The 18,030-nt window shown below is 52.0% G+C and overlaps 1 protein-coding gene and 1 long non-coding RNA gene across 7 annotated transcripts in view, besides 2 other annotated features; both read left to right on the top strand.

Moving 5' to 3' along the window:
• On the top strand, nt 5-7,969 carry LINC01569 (long intergenic non-protein coding RNA 1569). The gene is made up of 3 exons (NR_039999.1): nt 5-147; nt 1,760-2,472; nt 6,733-7,969. It is a non-coding gene; the product is annotated as a long intergenic non-protein coding RNA 1569 (long non-coding RNA).
• Nucleotides 227-436: an enhancer, noted in NCBI's record as "active region_10336". NCBI's record gives its function as "activates an Ori minimal core promoter by ATAC-STARR-seq in GM12878 lymphoblastoid cells {active_cell/tissue: GM12878}" and the evidence as "EXISTENCE:reporter gene assay evidence [ECO:0000049][PMID:35858748]".
• Nucleotides 501-1,123: an enhancer, noted in NCBI's record as "H3K27ac-H3K4me1 hESC enhancer chr16:4302672-4303294 (GRCh37/hg19 assembly coordinates)". NCBI's record gives its function as "activates a minimal SCP1, AML or CMV promoter by ChIP-STARR-seq in naive H9 embryonic stem cells {active_cell/tissue: H9 hESC(naive)}" and the evidence as "EXISTENCE:reporter gene assay evidence [ECO:0000049][PMID:30033119]".
• A 3,744-nt stretch (nt 7,970-11,713) lies between the features above and the next one.
• Nucleotides 11,714-18,030, top strand: part of SRL (sarcalumenin) — a 52,707-nt gene continuing 46,390 nt past the window's right edge. For 4 of the 6 annotated variants that reach the window (NM_001098814.2, NM_001435440.1, NM_001323668.1 and 1 more), the window contains exon 1: nt 11,714-11,787. In NM_001098814.2, coding sequence (NP_001092284.1) covers nt 11,727-11,787 — 61 coding nt within the window. In that variant the 5' untranslated portion in view covers nt 11,714-11,726. Of the gene's footprint in view, nt 12,206-14,055; nt 14,161-18,030 lie in introns of those variants that run through there. The other 2 variants (XM_047434447.1, XM_017023528.1) reach the window with 2 other exon arrangements.

Raw genomic sequence — 18,030 nt, 5'->3', positions numbered from 1 at the left:
TCCCGGACTCCTTCAGCGCGCTGCCTGCCTGCCCAGGGCCTTCCCGGAGAGCAGGTGACGGCGGCCTCCGGGCATGGAGCTCGCGCTGACGAAAGGTTCTGGAAGCCGCCGTAAAAAGTAATCAAGAAACGGGTGACAGGACTTTTCGTAAGACATTTAATTTTTACCCAGAGTATCCGAAACATTGCCGTGTCAATCTCAGTGCGATGGGAGACTGCCGGCCCCAAGGAGCTGCTCGTCCTTCTGCCGAGTTCCGGCCCGGACCCGCGGAGGAGGAGACCGCCGCGCCGGAGCTCGGACCTGACGTTTTTGTGAAGCACAGGGGGCGTGGGAGGGACCGGATCAATGCGGCACTCAACAAAACCTGTTTTTAAAAGAGTCGTGCTGTGTCGCCCAGGCTGGAGTGCAGTGACGCGATCTCGGCTCACTGCAGCCTCCACCTTCCGGGCTCAAGCGAGCCTCCCGCCTCAGCCTCCTGAGTAGCTGGGATTACAGGCACACACCTCCAGCTCGGCTGTTTTATTTATTTATTTTTTTTTTGAGACGTAATTTAGCTCATGTTGACCAGGCTGGAGTGCAGTGGCGCGATCTGGGCTCACCGCAACCCCCGCCTCCCGGGTTCAAGCGATTTTCCGCCTCAGCCTCCTGAGTAGCTGGGGTTGCAGGCATGCGCCACCACGCCCGGCTAATTTTGTACTTATAGTAGAGACGGGGTTTCTCCATGTTGGTCAGGCTGGTCTCGAACTCCCGACCTCAGGTGCTCCGCCCGCCTTGGCCTCCCAAAGTGCTGGGATTACAGGCGTGAGCCACCTCTCCAGGGCCAAAAGCCTTTTATTGGAGTACTGGGTAACACATTCAGAAGAGGGTGCATAGCTTAGGCGCTCCGTGAATTTTCACAAACTGAACATACACCCAGGTAGCCAACACCCCCAGCAAGCCCCAGAATCCCCTCATGCTTGCTTTCTGCCACTATCAAGCAGTTTGCTTTCTTTCAGATTTTTAAGTTTTGAAATAATTATTGAAATGTACAGGGAGAAGTCTGGGTTGGTGGTTCTAACCTGTAGTCTCAGCTACTAGAGAGGCTGAAGGGGGAAGATGGCTTTAGCCCTGGATTTCTAGACTAGCCTGGACAACATAGCAAGACCTCATCTCTATTTGTTTTTGAGACAGAGCCTCGGTCTGTCACCCATGCTGGAGCGCAGTGGACCTCCGCCTCCCGGGTTCAAGTGATTCTTCTTTCTCAGCCTCCCGAGTTATTTGGGATTACAGGTGTGCGCCACCACGCCCAGCTAATTTTTTTGTATTTTTAGTAGAGACGGGTTTCACCATGTTGGCCAGGCTGGTCTTAAACTTCTGACTTAAGGTGATCTGCCCGTCTCGGCCTCCCAAAGTGCTGGGATTACGACGTCAGCCACTGCTCTTGGCCTATCTTTTTTTTTTTTTTTTTTTTTAAAAGAAAGAGATGTATAGGGAGATCACCCAGTATCCCTCAGTGTTAACATCTTGCATAGCTACAGTTAGCATAGAAGCCAGGTAATTGACATTGGTACTGTACATGGGACTTACTCAGATTTACACGTTTTTTAATGTTTTATGTGTATGTAGTTCTCTATTCTCTACCATTTTTATGAGAGTTCCAGTTGCCTTGCATTCCCACCAGCACTTAGTATTGTCAGATTTATCATTATTTAGGTATTCTGGTAGGTGTATGGTGGAATCTCACCATAGTTTTAATTTCTTCTCTTTTTTTAAAAAATAGGAACAAGGTCTCACCATGCTGCCCAAGCTGGTCTGAAAACTCTTGTCCTCAGGCAGTCCTCCCACCTCGGCCTCCCAAAGATCTGAGATTACAGGCATGAGCCACCACACCTGGCCTTGGTTTTAATTCCTGTCACAGTATATTAGTTTTCGCTGTTGTGTATTGATTGATTGAGACAGGGTCTCGCTCTGTTGCCCAGGCTGGAGTGCAGGGGCATGATCCCAGCTCACTGCAACCTCCACCTCTTGGATTCAAGTGATTCTCCCGTCTCAGCCTCCCGAGTAACAGGAACCACAGGTGTGTGCCAGCACGCCTGGCTAATTTTTTTTTTTTTTTTCTTGAGGTGGAGTTTCACTGTTGTTGCCCAGGTTGGAGTGCAGTGGCACAATCTCAGCTCACTGCAACCTCTGCCTCCTGGGTTCAAGTGATTCTCCTGCTTCAGCCTCACGAGTTGTTGGGATTACAGGCGCCCGCCACCACGCCCAGGTAATTTTTGTTTAGTAGAGACGGGGTTTCACCATGTTGGCCTGGCTGGTCTCGAACTCCTGACCTCAGGTGATCCACCCACCTCGGCCTCCCAAAGTTGTGGGATTGCAGGCGTGAGCCACTGCGCCTGGCCTAATTTTTCAATTTTTTGGTGGAGATAGGGTTTCACCATGTTGGCCAGGCTGGAGTTTTGCCTGTTCTAGAAGCTTGTATCAGTCATACAACACGTAAGTTCTTTTTGTCTAGCTTCTTTTGCTCAACACAATATCTCTGAGATTTATTTATGTTTTTATGTAAACATAAATGTTCATTTTTCTTGCTAAGTACTATTTCATTGTATGAATAGACCACAGTTTGTTTATCCATTCACCTAGTGGTGGACATTTTATTTATTTTTATTTATTTATTTATTTATTTATTTTTGAGACAGAGTCTTGCTCTGTCGCCCAGGCTGGAGTGCAATAGCTCAATCTCAGCTCACTGCAGCCTCTGCCTCCCAGGTTCAAGCCATTCTCCTGTCTCAGCCTCCCGAGTAGCTGGGATTACAGGCACACACCACGACACCCTGCTACTTTTTGTATTTTTAGTAGAGACAGGGTTTCACCATGTTGGTCAGGCTGGTCTTGAACTCCTGGCCTCGTGATCCATCCACCTCGGCCTCCCAAAGTGCTGGGATTACAGGCATGAGCCACCGCACCTGGCCATGGTGGACATTTATGTTGTTTCCAACTTAGGGCTATTATAACTAGATTTTAGTAGCTACCATCCCCCAAATGCATGGTACCAATTTTCTCTCCTACCAACAGCATGTAAGGTGACAGTTCAGGAGAAGTGTCCTAAGCATGTGTCATGGACCCTGTTTGGGGGGTGATTTCTTTGAGGCGGGGCCAGGCATTCTTGGTTCTCTGTGGCCTCCCCTGCCCTATTTTTTTTTTTTTAGATGAAGTTTCACTTTTGTCACCCAGGCTGGAGTGCAGTGGTGCTATCCCGGCTCACTGCAACCTCCGCCTCCTGGGTTCAAGCGATTCTCCTGCCTCAGCCTCCCGAGTAACTGGGATTACAGGCATGCACCACCGTGCTCAGCTAATTTTTGTATTGTTAGTACAGACAGGATTTTGCCATGTTGGCCAGGCTGGTCTCCAACCCCTGGCCTCAACTGATCCACCTGCCTTGGCCTCCCGAAGTGCTGGTATTATAGGCATAAGCCACCGCGCCTGGCTGGTCCCCTGCCCTATTTTAAGAGTCTCTATTAGGGATAAACTTCATGGAAAATGTATGTCTGTTCTAAGAATGTTCTCAAGTGTCATTACCTTGTGCTGTATCTGTTTCCTCTTTACGAGGATTCTCAGAAGAAATTCTTGCCGAGTCTCAATAGTTGAAATAATTTCACTCCTTCCAAGCATTTGGTTTGCTCTTATTTTAAGGACACTGAATTGGGCAGGTGGTCAAGTTACACACATGTGAGGGACTGAAATATATGGTGTCATTTTTTCCCGTTAGTCTTACGAATGGTTCCATACTGTGTGCCTTCCTGTTTTTCTTCCACTAGTACTTCCAGTTCGTGCTTTCTTGCTATATTTTATAGAGAAAGGCCATTTCTATGTCTTTCTGGTACTGGGTGGGTTATAATAAAAACGTGCCTTTGGTGCCATGATTTGGGGGTGTCTTTGGCCGTGCAGCAGAGCGATGCCCCAGCTCTGCTAGATGTTTGAAGGGCTATTGAGTGGAAGAGGGGTCCCTTCCTGTGACCTTGGCCCCCTTATCAGTTGACTAACTGGCCCCAGACCAGTATGTAAAGCACATGCAAATCCTCAAACAGCCTCTTGGAGCCAGCTGGCCATGCTGTCCTCAGCTTCAGATTTTTTTGTGTTTCTGGCTCCACGGTGTTCCCCCGCATCCTAGTCCATCCTCCTGTCCTTTCTTGAACCAGCTGTCTGTCTGTGCTTTCCTCGATGCTGTGTGGCCTTGTAGCATTTGTCATTTTCACTCTGTTGAGTTGGCCGGCTTGGCCTCCCTTGTCCTGCAGGTCCTGGGCAGGGATGGCGTTATATCATCCTCTGCCTTTGTCTCCTTTCTCCTCTTGCCCTGCTGAGTCGCAAGTTTATTCTGTTGGTTGACAAGAACCTGTGCTGACAGAGGAGGGGATAGGACTGGGGGCTGCGGCAGGACCAGCTCTAAATCTGGCAGCTGAAGAAAGGAATGAGTTCCCCAAAGCAGCTTCTCCCACCACACCCCCGATTGAGAAAACAAGGAGCTGGCCGGGCATGGTGGCTCGCGCCTGTAATCCCAGCACTTTGGGAGGCCAAGGCAGGTGCATCACCCAAGGGCAGGAGTTCAAGACCAGCGTGGCCAACATGGCGAAACTCCGTCTCTATTAAAAATACAAAAATTAGCTGGGCATGGTGGTGCCTGCCTGTAATCCCAGCTACTAGTGGGGCTGAGGCAGGAGGATCGCTTGAACCTGGGAGGTGGAGGTTGCAGTGAGCTGAGATCGTGCCACTGCACTCCAGCCTGGGCAACAGAGCAAGACTGCATCTCAAAACAACAACAACAAAGGCTGGTCGTGGTGGCTCACTCCTGTAATCCTAGTACTTTGGGAGGCCAAGGCGGGCGGATTGCCTGAGCTCAGGAGTTCGAGACCAGCCTGGGCTACACGGTGAAACCCGTCTCTACCAAAATACAAAAAATCTGTAGTCGCAGCTACTCAGGGGGCTGAGGCAGGAGAATTGCCTGAACCCTGGAGGTGGAGCTTGCAGTGAGCCGATATCGTGCCACTGCACTCCAGCTTGAGTGACAGAGCAAGACTCCGTCTCCAAAAAAATAAATAAATAAAAATAAATTAAAAAAAATTAGGAGCTAAGAATGACAGCTGCAAAGTTGCCTGAATTAGGGGGCCCAAGTCAAGTTTTCCCCAGGGTGCCGGCTATCTTGGTGGATGGCCTCAATAAATAGGCAGGTGATTTGTGAAGGTTGAAGGGGTTGCAGGTGCCACACACATCAGCGGTTAGTCTGTTGATACACATTTATTATCTCTCCTATTGTCTCCTGCCCTATGGGAGATGTAGACAGTGCTCTGAACGTTCTGGTTGCAAAGAGAATTGACAAACTGCTGTTCTCCAGCCTGACCAACATGATGAAACCCCATCTAAAAATACAAAACAATTAGCCGGACTGTAGTGGTGCACGCCTGTAATCGCAGCTACTCAGAAGGCTGAGGCAGGAGAATTGCTTGCATCCAGGAGGTGGAGGTTGCAGTGAGCTGAGATCACGCCATTGCACTCCAGCCTAGGCGACAGAGTGAGTCTCTGTATCTGCTGTTCTGTTGTAGGAGAAGGAGATGTCAGGTATAAGGGTTAGCAGGGGGTGGCTTGGTTGCGATCAGGAGAGAGGTAGTGCTCATTCTCCATGGGATCCTTGTGGTGCATGTCCCTGGCTTTTTTTTTTTTTTTGAGATGGAGTCTCACTCTGTCACCCAGGCTGGAGTGCAGAGGCACAATACTCGGCTTACTCGGCTCTGCCTCCTGGGTTCATGCATTTCTCCTGCCTCAGCCTCCTGAGTAGCTGGGATTACAGGTGTGCACCACCACGCCTGGTATTTTTAGTAGAGATGGGGTTTCTCCACGTTGGCCAGGCTGGTCTCAAACTCCTGACCTCAAGTGCCGCGGTTTGCCACAGTTACCACGGGACTAAACGAAGGGGTACGAACGTAGAAATGAAAACTTAAAACAAAAGAAACTGTTTTAAAGGAAGGGGCCAGGGGAAGAAGAAGAGGGCTCCCTGCTTCTAGTGAGCAAGGGCAGCCGCCTTGAACCTCTACCGCCCTTCATACTCATTCGGTAGAAAGAGCAGGGTGGAGGAGGTAACAATTGGTCAGCTGCTTGATTGATCACAGGTTCACCTTATCTCATTACAAGAAACACTTGTGCTGGGTCGTGACTGCCCTCAGCATTCCTTCTGGGTGGCAGACGCAGTTTGTCAGTTTGCCAACACCCTGCTTTCATGAAAACAGTTTGCTGTTTACTCATATAGCCTCCAGTGGTGCACTGAGTTGATCACGACCCTCACTCTTTCGGCCTGCAACACTCAAGTGATCCACCTGCCTCGGCTGCCCAAAGTGTTGGGATTACAGGCATGAGCCACCACGCCCGGCCTGCTCCTGGCTTTTGGCTGAAAGTTGAGACTTAGAAGTTGGGAGGAGACCTGGAGCACCGTGGCTAGTTCTAGGCCCTACACTCTTCAGAACAGCAGAGCTGTAGCTGTCTGGTAGTGAGCTCTCTGTTGCTGGGAGTATTCAGAGGCTGGATGGCTGGCTGTTAAGGGATTTCTGCTTGGGTGGGAATTTGGGTCCCTCTAAGACAGATAACCTATGATTTCTGAGATAAATGGGACAATACTTTCAATGAGGGTTACATGTTAACGCTGGGTCAGTCTTGAGTACAAAATGGATTCAGAGACCTGAGTTGTCATGTTCAATCTGATTTTCCTAGCCCTTTGAGGAACCGTTTGAGGTGTGGCACGATACAGCAAGTCAGCTGCCAAAGAGGGGCTTAGCCACAGGAAGTGCGTGCCCAGAACGGTAAAGGGGCTGTGGCCTTTCTTATCATCTCCACTCCCTGTCCCCCCCATCACCTGCTCTTCGTGCTTTGTGATAATTCAGTGAGCTCATACTCATGACCTGTGTCCTCCAGCATCTCCCGTGTCCCTCACAGCAGTTCTATGAGGCTGGCTGCCCTGTTTGACAACTGAGGCCCGCATCTTCCCCGGAATCACCGACGTGTGGCTCTGAGCCCTGTCCCAGGGATTTTCTCCATCAGAGAAGAGGAGCACTTTGAGCTTTGAGAGGAGCAGCCCTCTGCAAGTGAAGTGGAAAAAAAGGAAGCAGGCGAGGAGGCCCATCCAGACCCTCCCCCAAGACCCTTGCTGAAATGGCTGGGATGCGGCGTGCAGAAGCTCTCCTTTCCTTCACAGCCCCTGGCTTTCCAAGAGTCCCTGCCCACCCAGATGCCCGCTGGCAGATGCAGCCTCATCTCAAGGACACTGCTTGCTGGATAAATCCCTCACCACCCTAGAGACAGCCCACGGTCCTGAGACAAGGATGCGGGCCAGGCTTGTTGCACGTAAGCGCCTCCCGCAGAAACCAGTGAGGCCGGAGTTCCAGAGGAAATGATGTAGGGACAGAGGCAGAGGGCCTCCAGGAGGCACCAGCCCCAGAGTCTTCCCTAGAATCAGACTTTAAGCACAAGCAGGGAGGGAAAGCACTTGAGCAGTGCCCGTCCCTGCATACCTGGCCTCTGCTGGAACCCATGCAGGGACAGGACACTTCTTTATCAGCAATCCTGTTCCTCTCCTGGGCAGCTTCAACCTGAACATCCTCCTTCACCTTGAGCTAAAATGGGTTTCTTGTCACCCTTGCCCATCAAACCTGGCCTTGCCCTCAGGAACCACACAGGACAAGCCTAATACTTCCTTCTTGTGGCAACACTTTAGCAATTGAGACCTGGCTGTCAGGTCCTCCAAATAAACATTTGTGACTGTGATGTTGACTTGCCGCTTCTGGGGACCTCTTCTCATTTGATCGGAGAAAGTTTTTCAGGGTTAAACCTACTTCTTTCCCCCAAGAAACTCTTCTTGTCAGGCTCACGCCTATAATCCTGGCACTTTGGGAGGCCAAGGCAGGAGGATTGTTTGAGACCAGCCTGGGCAACGTAGGTAGACTATGTTGCTACAAAAAGAAAAAGAAAAAATGGCCAGGTGTAGTAGTCCCAGCTGCTTGGAGGCTGAGGTAGGAGGTTTGCTTGAGCCCAGGAGGTCGAGGCTGCAGTGAGCTATGATTGTGCCACTGCACTCTAGCCTGGGAGACAGAATGAGGCCCTGTCTCAAAAAAAAAAAAAAAAAAAAAAAGATGATGAAACTCCTCACGTATTTCTCCCCGGAGCATGTGCTCCCAGGCTCAAATCCACAGCAGCCTCGTTACACACACGTCATCCCCTGGCCCCGAGATATTGCACCGCCTTCCCCTTTCTAGCTCTGAACCCCCACATGAAGCAGCCAGACGTAGGAAAACCCAGATTCATAAAGCGCTGATATGGGTGGTCCTTTACCAAAGGATTTTCTGCTTTACAAAGTAATTCACCAAATGATTTCCCTAGAGTATGGGCAGAGATTTGCAAACTACAGCTTGGAACCAAGCTGCCTTTTTTTTATAATAAAGTTTTATCAGGATGCATCCACATCCATTCATCTCTGTGGTGCCAGCTGCTCTAGCTACACAGGCAGAGTGGAAGAGTTGCAGATGGCCAACAAAACCTAAACTGTTTACCGCCTGGCCCCTTATAGAAGCAGCTGGCTGACGCTGGCTCCAGGGCATCAGAAATGGGACCATTGGAAAGGAGTAGCCGGGCTACATGGTTTTTCTTCTGCCCCACGTCTTGTTCTCAAACATGCTTCCTCCCCAGTCATCTGAGGAATGTCAGTCTGAGACAGTCAGGAGCAGGTGTGCCTAGGGATGCATGGTTTCTGAAAATGGGGTGGGGTCTTTTAGGCTGAGGGCTCTGGCAGCTTCTGTCTGAAGGCTGAGCTGAGCTGAGCAGAGCTGGGCATGGTGGCTCACGCCTGTAGTCCCGGCTACTCAGGAGGCCAAGGTGGGAGAATCACTTGAGCCTGGGAAGTTCAGAGGAGCCTGGGCAACACAGTGAGACCTCATCTTTATTTTTTGAAATTTTTTGTTTTTATTATTTTTTTAATTTTTAGGAGCAGAGGGTTAATAGGCAAAAGAAAGAGAGAGAGGAAAACAGCTCTCTCCAGTGAGAGAGAGGGTACTTCTGAAAGGAAAACGCCACCGGCAGCAGATGCACTGGATTTTATAGTCAGGCTTGAGGAGGTGGTGTCTGATTTACATAGGGCTCACAGATTGGTTCAGTCAGGTATGATGTTTACATAGCGCTGGGGTGTGGGGAAGGCTGACCTCCCCACTCTAATCTTATTATGCAAATGAACTTTCCCCTTGGCCAGCACCATCTTGTCTGCTCCTTACTGTGCACGTGGCTGGCAGAGAAGGGAAGATGGAGCCGCCATTTTGAACATGATTGGCACAACTGCCTGCATCTATGTCTGCAGCTCGATTTTACACGCTGCTCTTTGTTAGAAAGGAAAATGATTTGGGGCTGCTTTTCAGTAAAAGGAAAACCTTACTGAGGACTTCTGTATCCTCACTATCTAAGTAATTTCCTCTTAACTCCTGTATCATTCCCCACTCTGGAGTGGTAACCCTAACTGCTCTTCGGGGTTGTTTGATGATGACTCTTTCTGGCTACTTCATACTTAAAAGGGGTGTTGTGTGGGGAACAGAAGCTAAGGGCTCCTCCTGGGGTCGAGCTAAGGGTCCTCGGAAAAAAGGCATGTCCGTGCATGGTTCTGTCTGCAGCACCATTTAGAGTTTGATTACTGTCAGCCATTCTGATGGGTTGTAACACTGGTTTGCCTCCACCAGATGTTGAGATAGTTTCCAGATTCCAGAGAAACCAGGCAGAGAGAAACAAACATGCTCCAAATTTTCTTCACAGGAGTATACCTTATTCAATTATTAAAGGCCATAAATAGTTCACAATAAGTTTTCTTGACTCGTTTTGATGAGTGTTGTACCTTGGGATCCCGGATGAGGTCCCCAACATGAAGCAGCTACATTGTTTGGGGTAAATACCTGGGGTTCATTGTCTCACGCCAAGAAAATTTAGGACACAGACACACATGAGGAGTTTAGGAGCAGAGGTTTAACAGGCAAAAGAAAGAGAAAGAAAAACAGCTCCTTAGTGAGAGAGAGGGGACTTCCAAGAGGAAAAGTCCCAAGACCTTGTCTTTGAAAAAGCAGTAGCTCATGCCTGTAATCGTAGTGCTTTGGGAGGTCGAGACAGGAAGATTGCTTGAGCCCAGGAGTTGGAGACCAGCCCGAGTGACATAGGAAGACCATGTTTGCAAAAAACAAAAAAATTAGCCAGATGTGGTGCACACCTGTATTCCCAGCCCCTCGGAGGTTGAGGTGAGAGGGTGGCTTGAGCCCAGGAGTTCAAGGCTGCAGTGAGCTATGATCGTGTCACTACTCCAGCCAGGGTGACAGAGACCCTGTCTCTTAAAAAAGATTAAAAAAAAAAAAAAAGTCAAGTGCCTACCAGATGCCTAATTCTTTTTTTTTTTTTTTTTTTTTTTGAGACAGAGTCTCGCTCTGTTGCCCAGGCTAGAGTCAGTGGTGCAATCTTGGCTCATGGCAACCTTCGCCTCCTGGGATCAAGTGATTCTCCTGCCTCAGCCTCCTGAGGAGCTGGGATTATAGGCACCCGCCACCACACCCAGTAATTTTTGTATTTTTAGTGGAGATGGGGTTTCACCATGTTGGCCAGGCTGGTCTCAATCTCCTGACCTCAGGTGATCCACCCGCCTCGGCCTCCCAAAGTGCTGGGATTACAGGTGTGAGCCACTGTGCCTGGCCCTGATTTAGTTCCTTTCCTCCAAGGCTGGCTTCTACCTCTTCCCCACACAGTGACACTGTACCCCGACCAGACAAGCAAGTGTCTGCTTTCCCTTGGCTTCTTACAACTGGCTCTCTGGGCCATCTACAAAAAATTTTAAAAAATTAGTACAGCATGGTGGCACTACTGTCCTAGCTACTTGGGAGGCTGAGTTGGGAGGATTGATTGAGCCTGGGAGGTCGAGTGCAGTGAGTGATGATTGTGCCACTGCAGTCCAGCCTGGGTGACAGAGCGAGATCCTCTATCAAAAACAAATAAACAAAAAAGCACTTTGCAGAGGTGACTGAATGTTCTGGAACCCCTGGGCCATTGGAAATGGATATCTGTTGCTCCATCCTCCAGTTTACACCGTAGCCTCAGCTTGTGTCTCAGTGTGCCCCTCTCCCTCTGGTCTGTGCTCTCTCTCTTCCAGAGGCTGGGAAGGTTGTTCCAGGGCTGCAGCCTTGGACCTCAGAGGTCACATGTTGCGGGTTTGCCGTAGCTGACCACTCTCTAGCATGTGGATCAGTGGCTGTTAAATAGGATTTCTTTTGCGTGGCCTTACAACTTCCTCCTTCCAGTGCAGGCGTGTCAAGGTCCTTAACCTGCCGAGACTTCAGGTCAAGTTATTGCAAGTTCTGGGAAGACTCAGCTTCCCAGCTCCACCGCCTGAGCCCAAGGGATGCTCCATTTTATGCCTGTCACCCACGCCCTGTGACCCATGTCATGTGATCCCAGGGCTGCAGGGGTTCGGGGGAAGAGAATCCAGCCACGGCCCTGCCTTCTGGGGCCTGGCAGCTGGGACAGCAGTGGCGCAGCCTGAGCCTCTGCACAGCCTTCTGGGGTCCGGGCTTCTTCCCCATCACACCCTCCTAGTTGCCCTGGTGACTGTGTGACCCCTCTCCCCCCTCCACCGCCTGCTGCCACGGCCGGCCGTATAAATAGAGGCGAGGAGCAGCTGGGCTCTCTTGGCAGTCACCATGAGGGCGCTGGTCCTGCTCGGCTGCCTCCTGGCCTCGCTCCTGTTCTCAGGACAAGCAGGTAGGGCCCCTCCCAGCATGACCCAGCCCAGACTGGTCCCCCACGCTTCCTCCAAGGTTTTCTGTCTACCATGGGTTGGGTAGGGGGTCGGGGCTGATGGCAAACCCTGGCTCTTGGCTGGTGTCTTCTTACCCTTCTCTTTTCCCCGGGCCTGGGGCCTCAGAGAAAGAGCTGGGTGCTGGAGAATAGCAGCACAGTTGCGGGGCCCTCAGGAAGGCCAGAGGAAGTGGGAACGGCAAACAGAGCTGAGCTGTGAGCCAGGGTCAGAGAGGAGTCTGGCCAGTAGATGTGGGAAAGAGGGCCCTCAAAGTCGAGACGGGGGAGCCTCTGAGACGGACAAAATAGCACAGTCTGGGAGCTGGAGGTCGTTGAGGTGACCCTCCCACCTGGTGGGATATAAGGCGGAGGCCCCACTCGGGTAAGAGAACTGGGTTTGCGTGGACAGAAGGGGATACAGTGGGCAAAGGTGGGGACCGTTTTGGGAGCAGTGAGATAGAATTGGAATTGGTTTGGGATAAGATCGGAAATAGAGTTGGCGGTTGGGCTGGAAACAGCATTGGATGCAATTCAGAAGAGGAACGGGGCCCGTTCTGGAGTAGAGCCTCTGCTCGGGGTGGGGGCTTCCATCAGAAAAGGGGCTTGGCTCTGTGTGCTGAGGCTTCCCTTTGACATCTCAGCACTTTGGGTAGCAGAGGTGGTGGCTTGGGTTGCAGCATGGGGGTTATCTATAGGCTATGGAGGAGATGCCAGATTGTTTTGCCACCTCTCTTGTTCCTAAGGTTCCTGAGGCCAGGTTCCCCGAGGGAATGCTTTTAGGGAGGTGCTCCGGGGATCCCCCTAGGATCCGGACTGCCCACCGAGTCTTTTCATGACTCGGCAGTCTTCCCCCAAGCTGGGCTCTGAGCCTAGGTCCGTACCTGGGACTGGAGAGGCCCAGAGTCCAGCCTCTCAGGTCTTTGAGGTTGAATAGGGGGTTGCAGGGGCACAGTCCCTGCAGGGAGAGCAGGCAGTGGGTGGGAACAAAAGCTATTTCTCGGGGACTCAAGATGTAAGGTGGGGGGCTCCAGCCACTGCATGTGCTGCTGGGCCCTGCCCTTGTCTGTCCTTGAGTTAATTTGGGCTCTGCAGGGCTGCAGCGGCTTGAGTGCTGAGTATTCCAGGCGGCTGTCAGGCGGCTAAGTATGGAAACAGCCGCGTAATTGGATCCGGAGCCCCAAGCCGCTGCCACCCTCTCCCTTCGTGGCCGCTCCTGTGCTGCCCCCCAGCCCCAGCTGCTGGGCTGCTACACACTGGGCCCCAGGAATTTTTGGCCTTTTAGGGACATCCTTTATCTTTCCTCCCACCGAGGGAACTGGTCATCTGGAATGTTCTGCAGGCCTCGCTGGGGGCTCTTGTCGTGGGGAAAGGACGCAGGCAGGTGCTTGTGCAAAGGTCCCTTCTCTCTGCTGTCTTTCCTTCCTGGGTCCCACAGCGTGCGTCTGCCCCTGGCCCAACCTCCGGCGTAAAGCTTCCCTCTGTCCCTGCTCCTGCTCAGCACTTGGGCTGTGGGTTTCATCCACTGTGGTGGATTTTATCAGGACTCTGCCCCACTGTGGACTGTATACCCCAGAATAGGCCTCCTCCTGCATCCACCGGCAGGTTCTAACCCACAAGGTGGCTTCCTCACGCCCCCATCATGACAGTCCTTCCTACTGGGTGATTTCCCCTTCAGAATTGTGCCACCCCGGTAAATACCACCCCACCCAAAGGTCACATCTTGGCTCCTGACCTCTTTCCCTCATCTCTCCGCTGTGTGCTAACTTCCCTCCCTATCATGCTTGCTCCTTGGCTGGGTGGCGGCAGATATTCTCGCTCACCACTCCCATCTGCTTCCTAGGCCAGGGACCCCACAGAGCTTCTCCTCCGGCTTCTCCTCCTTGTTGCTCGTGTGCAGCTCTGGCTGGGGTGGTGGGCTCTGCAGCCCTCCTTCTCGCCTCCCTGTGAGGAGACAAGCGCCCCTCTGTTACCAACCACCCGTCGCCCGTGCCCATGCCAGGACGGGGAAGGAGCAGCCAGGTGGGGCCTTACCCGGTTTCCACCTCCCGACCTGCTGCTGCACTCAGGCCTTTGTACCACCCACTGGGCCCTCCTCTTTGGGAGTCCTGGCTTGGGGCTGTTCCTCCTTAAAGCAGTGGGAAACGCCCCTAGCAATGATTTGATCGGTCTCCCCACCATCCAGGGAAGGGAAGGAAACCCAGAGAAACAGGAAAACTTTTCCGAGGTCAGACAGCGCGTCAGTGACAGGCACACCCGGGCCAGGGTCCTCTCCTTTCCTCAGCCCGTCTCTCTGTGACAGACCCTGCCTGCACTCCCAAGCCCCTCTCTCCCTGTACGGTGAGTGTGAAAGGAGGAGAAAGGGTGCAGTGGATAAGACCGTCCTGGGGGAGTTTCCCTAGTTTGCAGGGCGAAGAGCTATGCTTTTGGTTTCCCTGGAGAGCGAAGTCTGCTGAGAAAGCATTTCATTTCTTCGGGTTTAAGCCATTGGTGTTTACTGCTAAAGGCAGAATTTGGGACCTCTTTGCTTCCTGTTGTCCCTCTTGTTGCTTGATACGGAGATTGGGGATCTGGGGATTCCTGTCCATCTCATCCTTCCTCCACCTCCAGCCCTAGCTTCAGACTTGCCCATCTGCCCTGGCCCCACCCGGCCACCCCAATGGCAAGGGGCTGGTGCATGCTGGGGCTGCCCCTCTGTGAGTGCCCACAGCTCAGTGCCCGCCATGTGAGACAAGGGTGCAGTGACGGTCAGGAAGCTGTTTCCCCGCCCCTTTCTCTCCCACCCCTGGCTGGTTATTTCTGGAAAGAGGCCAGCACTCCAGTTTCCTCATCAGGGCAGCCTAGCTGTGGCAGGGCTGCTGAGAAAATGTAGCAAGCTCAGGGGTCTTGGGGAGAGAACAGACCCCAGAAGCCTTTTCCCCACAGCTGGTTCCCTGACTCCTCATTTGGTGCAGCCGGGCAAGCCTGTAGGGGACATCTGGTCCCACAGTGAGCCTGGAATGCACTAGACTGGGTCTTGCTAATGAACACATCCCTCAAGAAGGTAACACGGTGGTCGGACACAGTGGCTCACACCTGTAATCCCAGCGCTTTGGGAACCCAAGGTGGGAGGATCGCTTGAAGCTAAGAATTTGAGACCAGTCTGGACAACATAGTGAGACCCTGTCTCTAAAAAAAAAAAAAAATAGCTCGGTGTAGGGGTGCATGCCTGTGGTCCCAGCTACTTGAGAGGCCGAGGGGGGAGGATCACATGAACCTGGGTGGTCAGGCTGCAGTGAGTTGTGATTGCATCACTGACTCCAGCCTGGGTGACAGAGCGAGACCTTGTCTCAAGGAAAAAAAAAAAAAAAGTGGCACCGGGCATGGTGGCCTGTGGAACTGCTGTTTAGGAACTGCTGGTTTTTTCCTACATCCAGGTATTACAGTGAAGGTCAAACAGTGAGTTCATGGCAGGCCAGAGCTGGAATTCAGTCCTTTCCACTCCTTGGCCAGTGCTTTTACCCGCTTATCCCCCAGAGGGAGGTCCAGATGAGGCCGGTAGCATCTAGCTGGCCGTTTGATGCCTGCTTGGGTGTAGTGGGCTGGGGAGAGTCAGCCTATGGACTCAGGAGGGGGACAGCTGTTTCCGTTCTCTGACCTGGCCTGCAGGCTAAGGACAGAGCTAGGCCCTGTGCATCCTGGCTGGAATGAGGCAGGTGGCTGGGGGAGTGGGGAGCAGGGAGGGCCATGGCTGTGGGATGGAGCGCCTGGGCTTACTTAGCTCTCTCTCCTGGGCACATGCCCTGCTCCAAACCCAAATCCAGGCCTCATCGCAGCATAAGTCCTTACCTGTAAACATCGCTCGTATGTGCAACCCTGTCATTCAAACACCTCAACGTGTTCCATCATTCGTGAACCCATCCCTCGTTTGCTGCATCCCTGCTGTTTTTGAAGTATGGTACTAGGGGAATTGAGACAGGCATTTTGTCCTCAGTGCTTATAGTCCAGTAGGGGAGAGGAGGCGTCTTCTCCCTTGCACGTAGCTGAATCTAGTCAAATGGGACACACATCAGTGTCACTGGGGAGGCACAGGAAAAGCAAGGTGGGGCTGAAGGCAGGGAGGAGACCATCCTGAGCTGAGTGGATCGGATCAGAAAAGGTTTTACGGATGAGGGAATATTTGAGCTGGGCCTTGAAGAAAGCAGGATTCAGAACAGAAAGATGGCAGGAAGGGAATTCTGAGTTGAGGGAACAAGATGAGCAAACTCACGGTGCCAGAGCAACGGGGCTCTGGTGAGACCCAGGGAAGGGGAGCATTGTTCTGTCTTGCATGAAGGCGGGCAGATGGAAGTGGGGTGGCGGGACGTGTTCGGAAGGCAGGGGTGGGGCTGAAGTGTGAAGGGCCTTGTTAGGCTAAGCAGGGCTTTGCTCTGTGGGCAGCGGGTCACTACCAAGGGCTCAGGGAAGATCCGTCTGGCAGTTGTTTGTAGGAAGAGTAGGGAGGGGGAGACTGATTAGTCAGCCATGCCAGAGAGGTAGGTGAGGGAGTGTGGACCTGGGCGAGGGGTTGGGAGTGGAGAGAAGGGGTGGACCCAGCTGACAGCTGGTGTAGAATCCCTGGCCTTCCCAGCTTGGGAGCCAGGCCAGGGGAGGGGGCCCTTACAGGTTCCATTGAGGTCACTGGGAGAATGATCTTGCCAGAAAAATAGACTGGGAACATAAGAGAGAGGAACAGATTTTGAGTCCAGTTTGGGCTTGGATGAAGTGGCTCACACCTGTAATCCCAGCACTTTGGGAGGCGGAGGCAGAGGCAGGAGGATGGCCTGAGCCTAGGAGTTTGAGACCAGCCTGGACAACATAGAAAATAAAACAAAAAATAGAAAAAATGAACTGGGCATGATGGCGGGTACCTGTAGTCCCAGCTACTTGGGAGGTTGAGGCAGGAGGATCGCTTGAGCTTGGTAGGCTGAGGCTGCAGTGAGCTGTGATGGCACTATTGTACCCCAACCTCGGCAACTGAGTGAGACCTTGTCTCAAAAAAAAAAAAAAGTTCACGGCTGGGTGCAGTGGCTTACACCTGTAATTCCAGCACTTTGGGAGGCTGAGGGCAGATCACGAGGTCAGGAGTTCGAGACCAGCCTGACTAATAGGGTGAAACCCCATCTCTACTAAAAATACAAAAAATTAGCCGGGCGTAGTGGCATGCGCCTGTAATCCCAGCTACTCGGGAGGCTGAGGCAGGAGAATTGCTTGTACCCGGGAGGCAGAGGTTGCAGTGAGCTGAGATCATGCCACTGCACTCCAGTCTGGGCACCAGAGCAAGACTCTGTCTCAAAAAAAAAAAGTTCAGTTTGGGTCATTATGAAGATTGGTTACTCGTGGGGCATCTGGAAGGAGGTGGCAGGGGTTAGGCAGGACTGGAGCTTAGGAGGGAAGTCAGGTCAGGGCATTTAGGAGTGAGATTCATTTACGTAAAGATGAGAGGGAGGCTCTGAGGTCACCCATGGAGCTGTACCAGGGAGAGACAAAGATTCAAGGACCAGTCCTTGATCAACGCTAAGTTTGAGGAGTAGGAAGAGGAAGAAGATAAATGAATTTCAGAAAGATAGGAAGGGACCCAAGAAGAGACAGTGACCTGCAAGCCCAGGTCTTCTAGAAGAAGGGCGAGTGGCCAGCAGGATTAAATATCACAGAGATGCTGAGGGAGAGGAGCTGTTCCTTCTGACAACCAGGAGGTCACTGACCAATGAGGAGGGTTTGAGGGTATTTAGTGAGGATGAGGAGGCAACATCTTTAGACATAGAAACCTTTAAAAATTAAGTTTGGGATAAATAAAGGCCAGCAACAGTAACTTAAAAGCAGATGGGTTTACTGAGGTAGAGAAAATATTTTTCTTTACGTTTTCTTTTTATTTATTTTTTTAGACAGGGACTCACTCTGTTGCGCAGGCTGGAGTGCAGTGGTTGATCAAGGCTCACTGCAGTCTCCACCTCCTGGGCTCAAGCAATCCTCCCACCTCAGCCTCCCGAGTAGCCAGGACTACACTATGCCCGGCTAATTTTGCATTTTTAGTAGAGGCGGAGTTTCTCCATGTTGGTCAGGCTGGTTTCGATCTCCTGACCTCGAGATCCGCTCACCTCGGCCTCCCAAGTGCTGGGATTACAGGCGTGAGCCACCGTGCCCGGCCCAGGGCTAGCTTTTTTAAGTGGAAATTGGCGCGGTGGATATGTG

Source organism: Homo sapiens, chromosome 16, assembly GCF_000001405.40.
Source record: "Homo sapiens chromosome 16, GRCh38.p14 Primary Assembly".
Taxonomy (NCBI): Eukaryota; Metazoa; Chordata; class Mammalia; order Primates; family Hominidae; genus Homo; species Homo sapiens.
The sequence above is the reverse complement of the archived record's forward strand: the minus strand, read 5'-3'. Positions and strand labels throughout refer to the sequence as shown.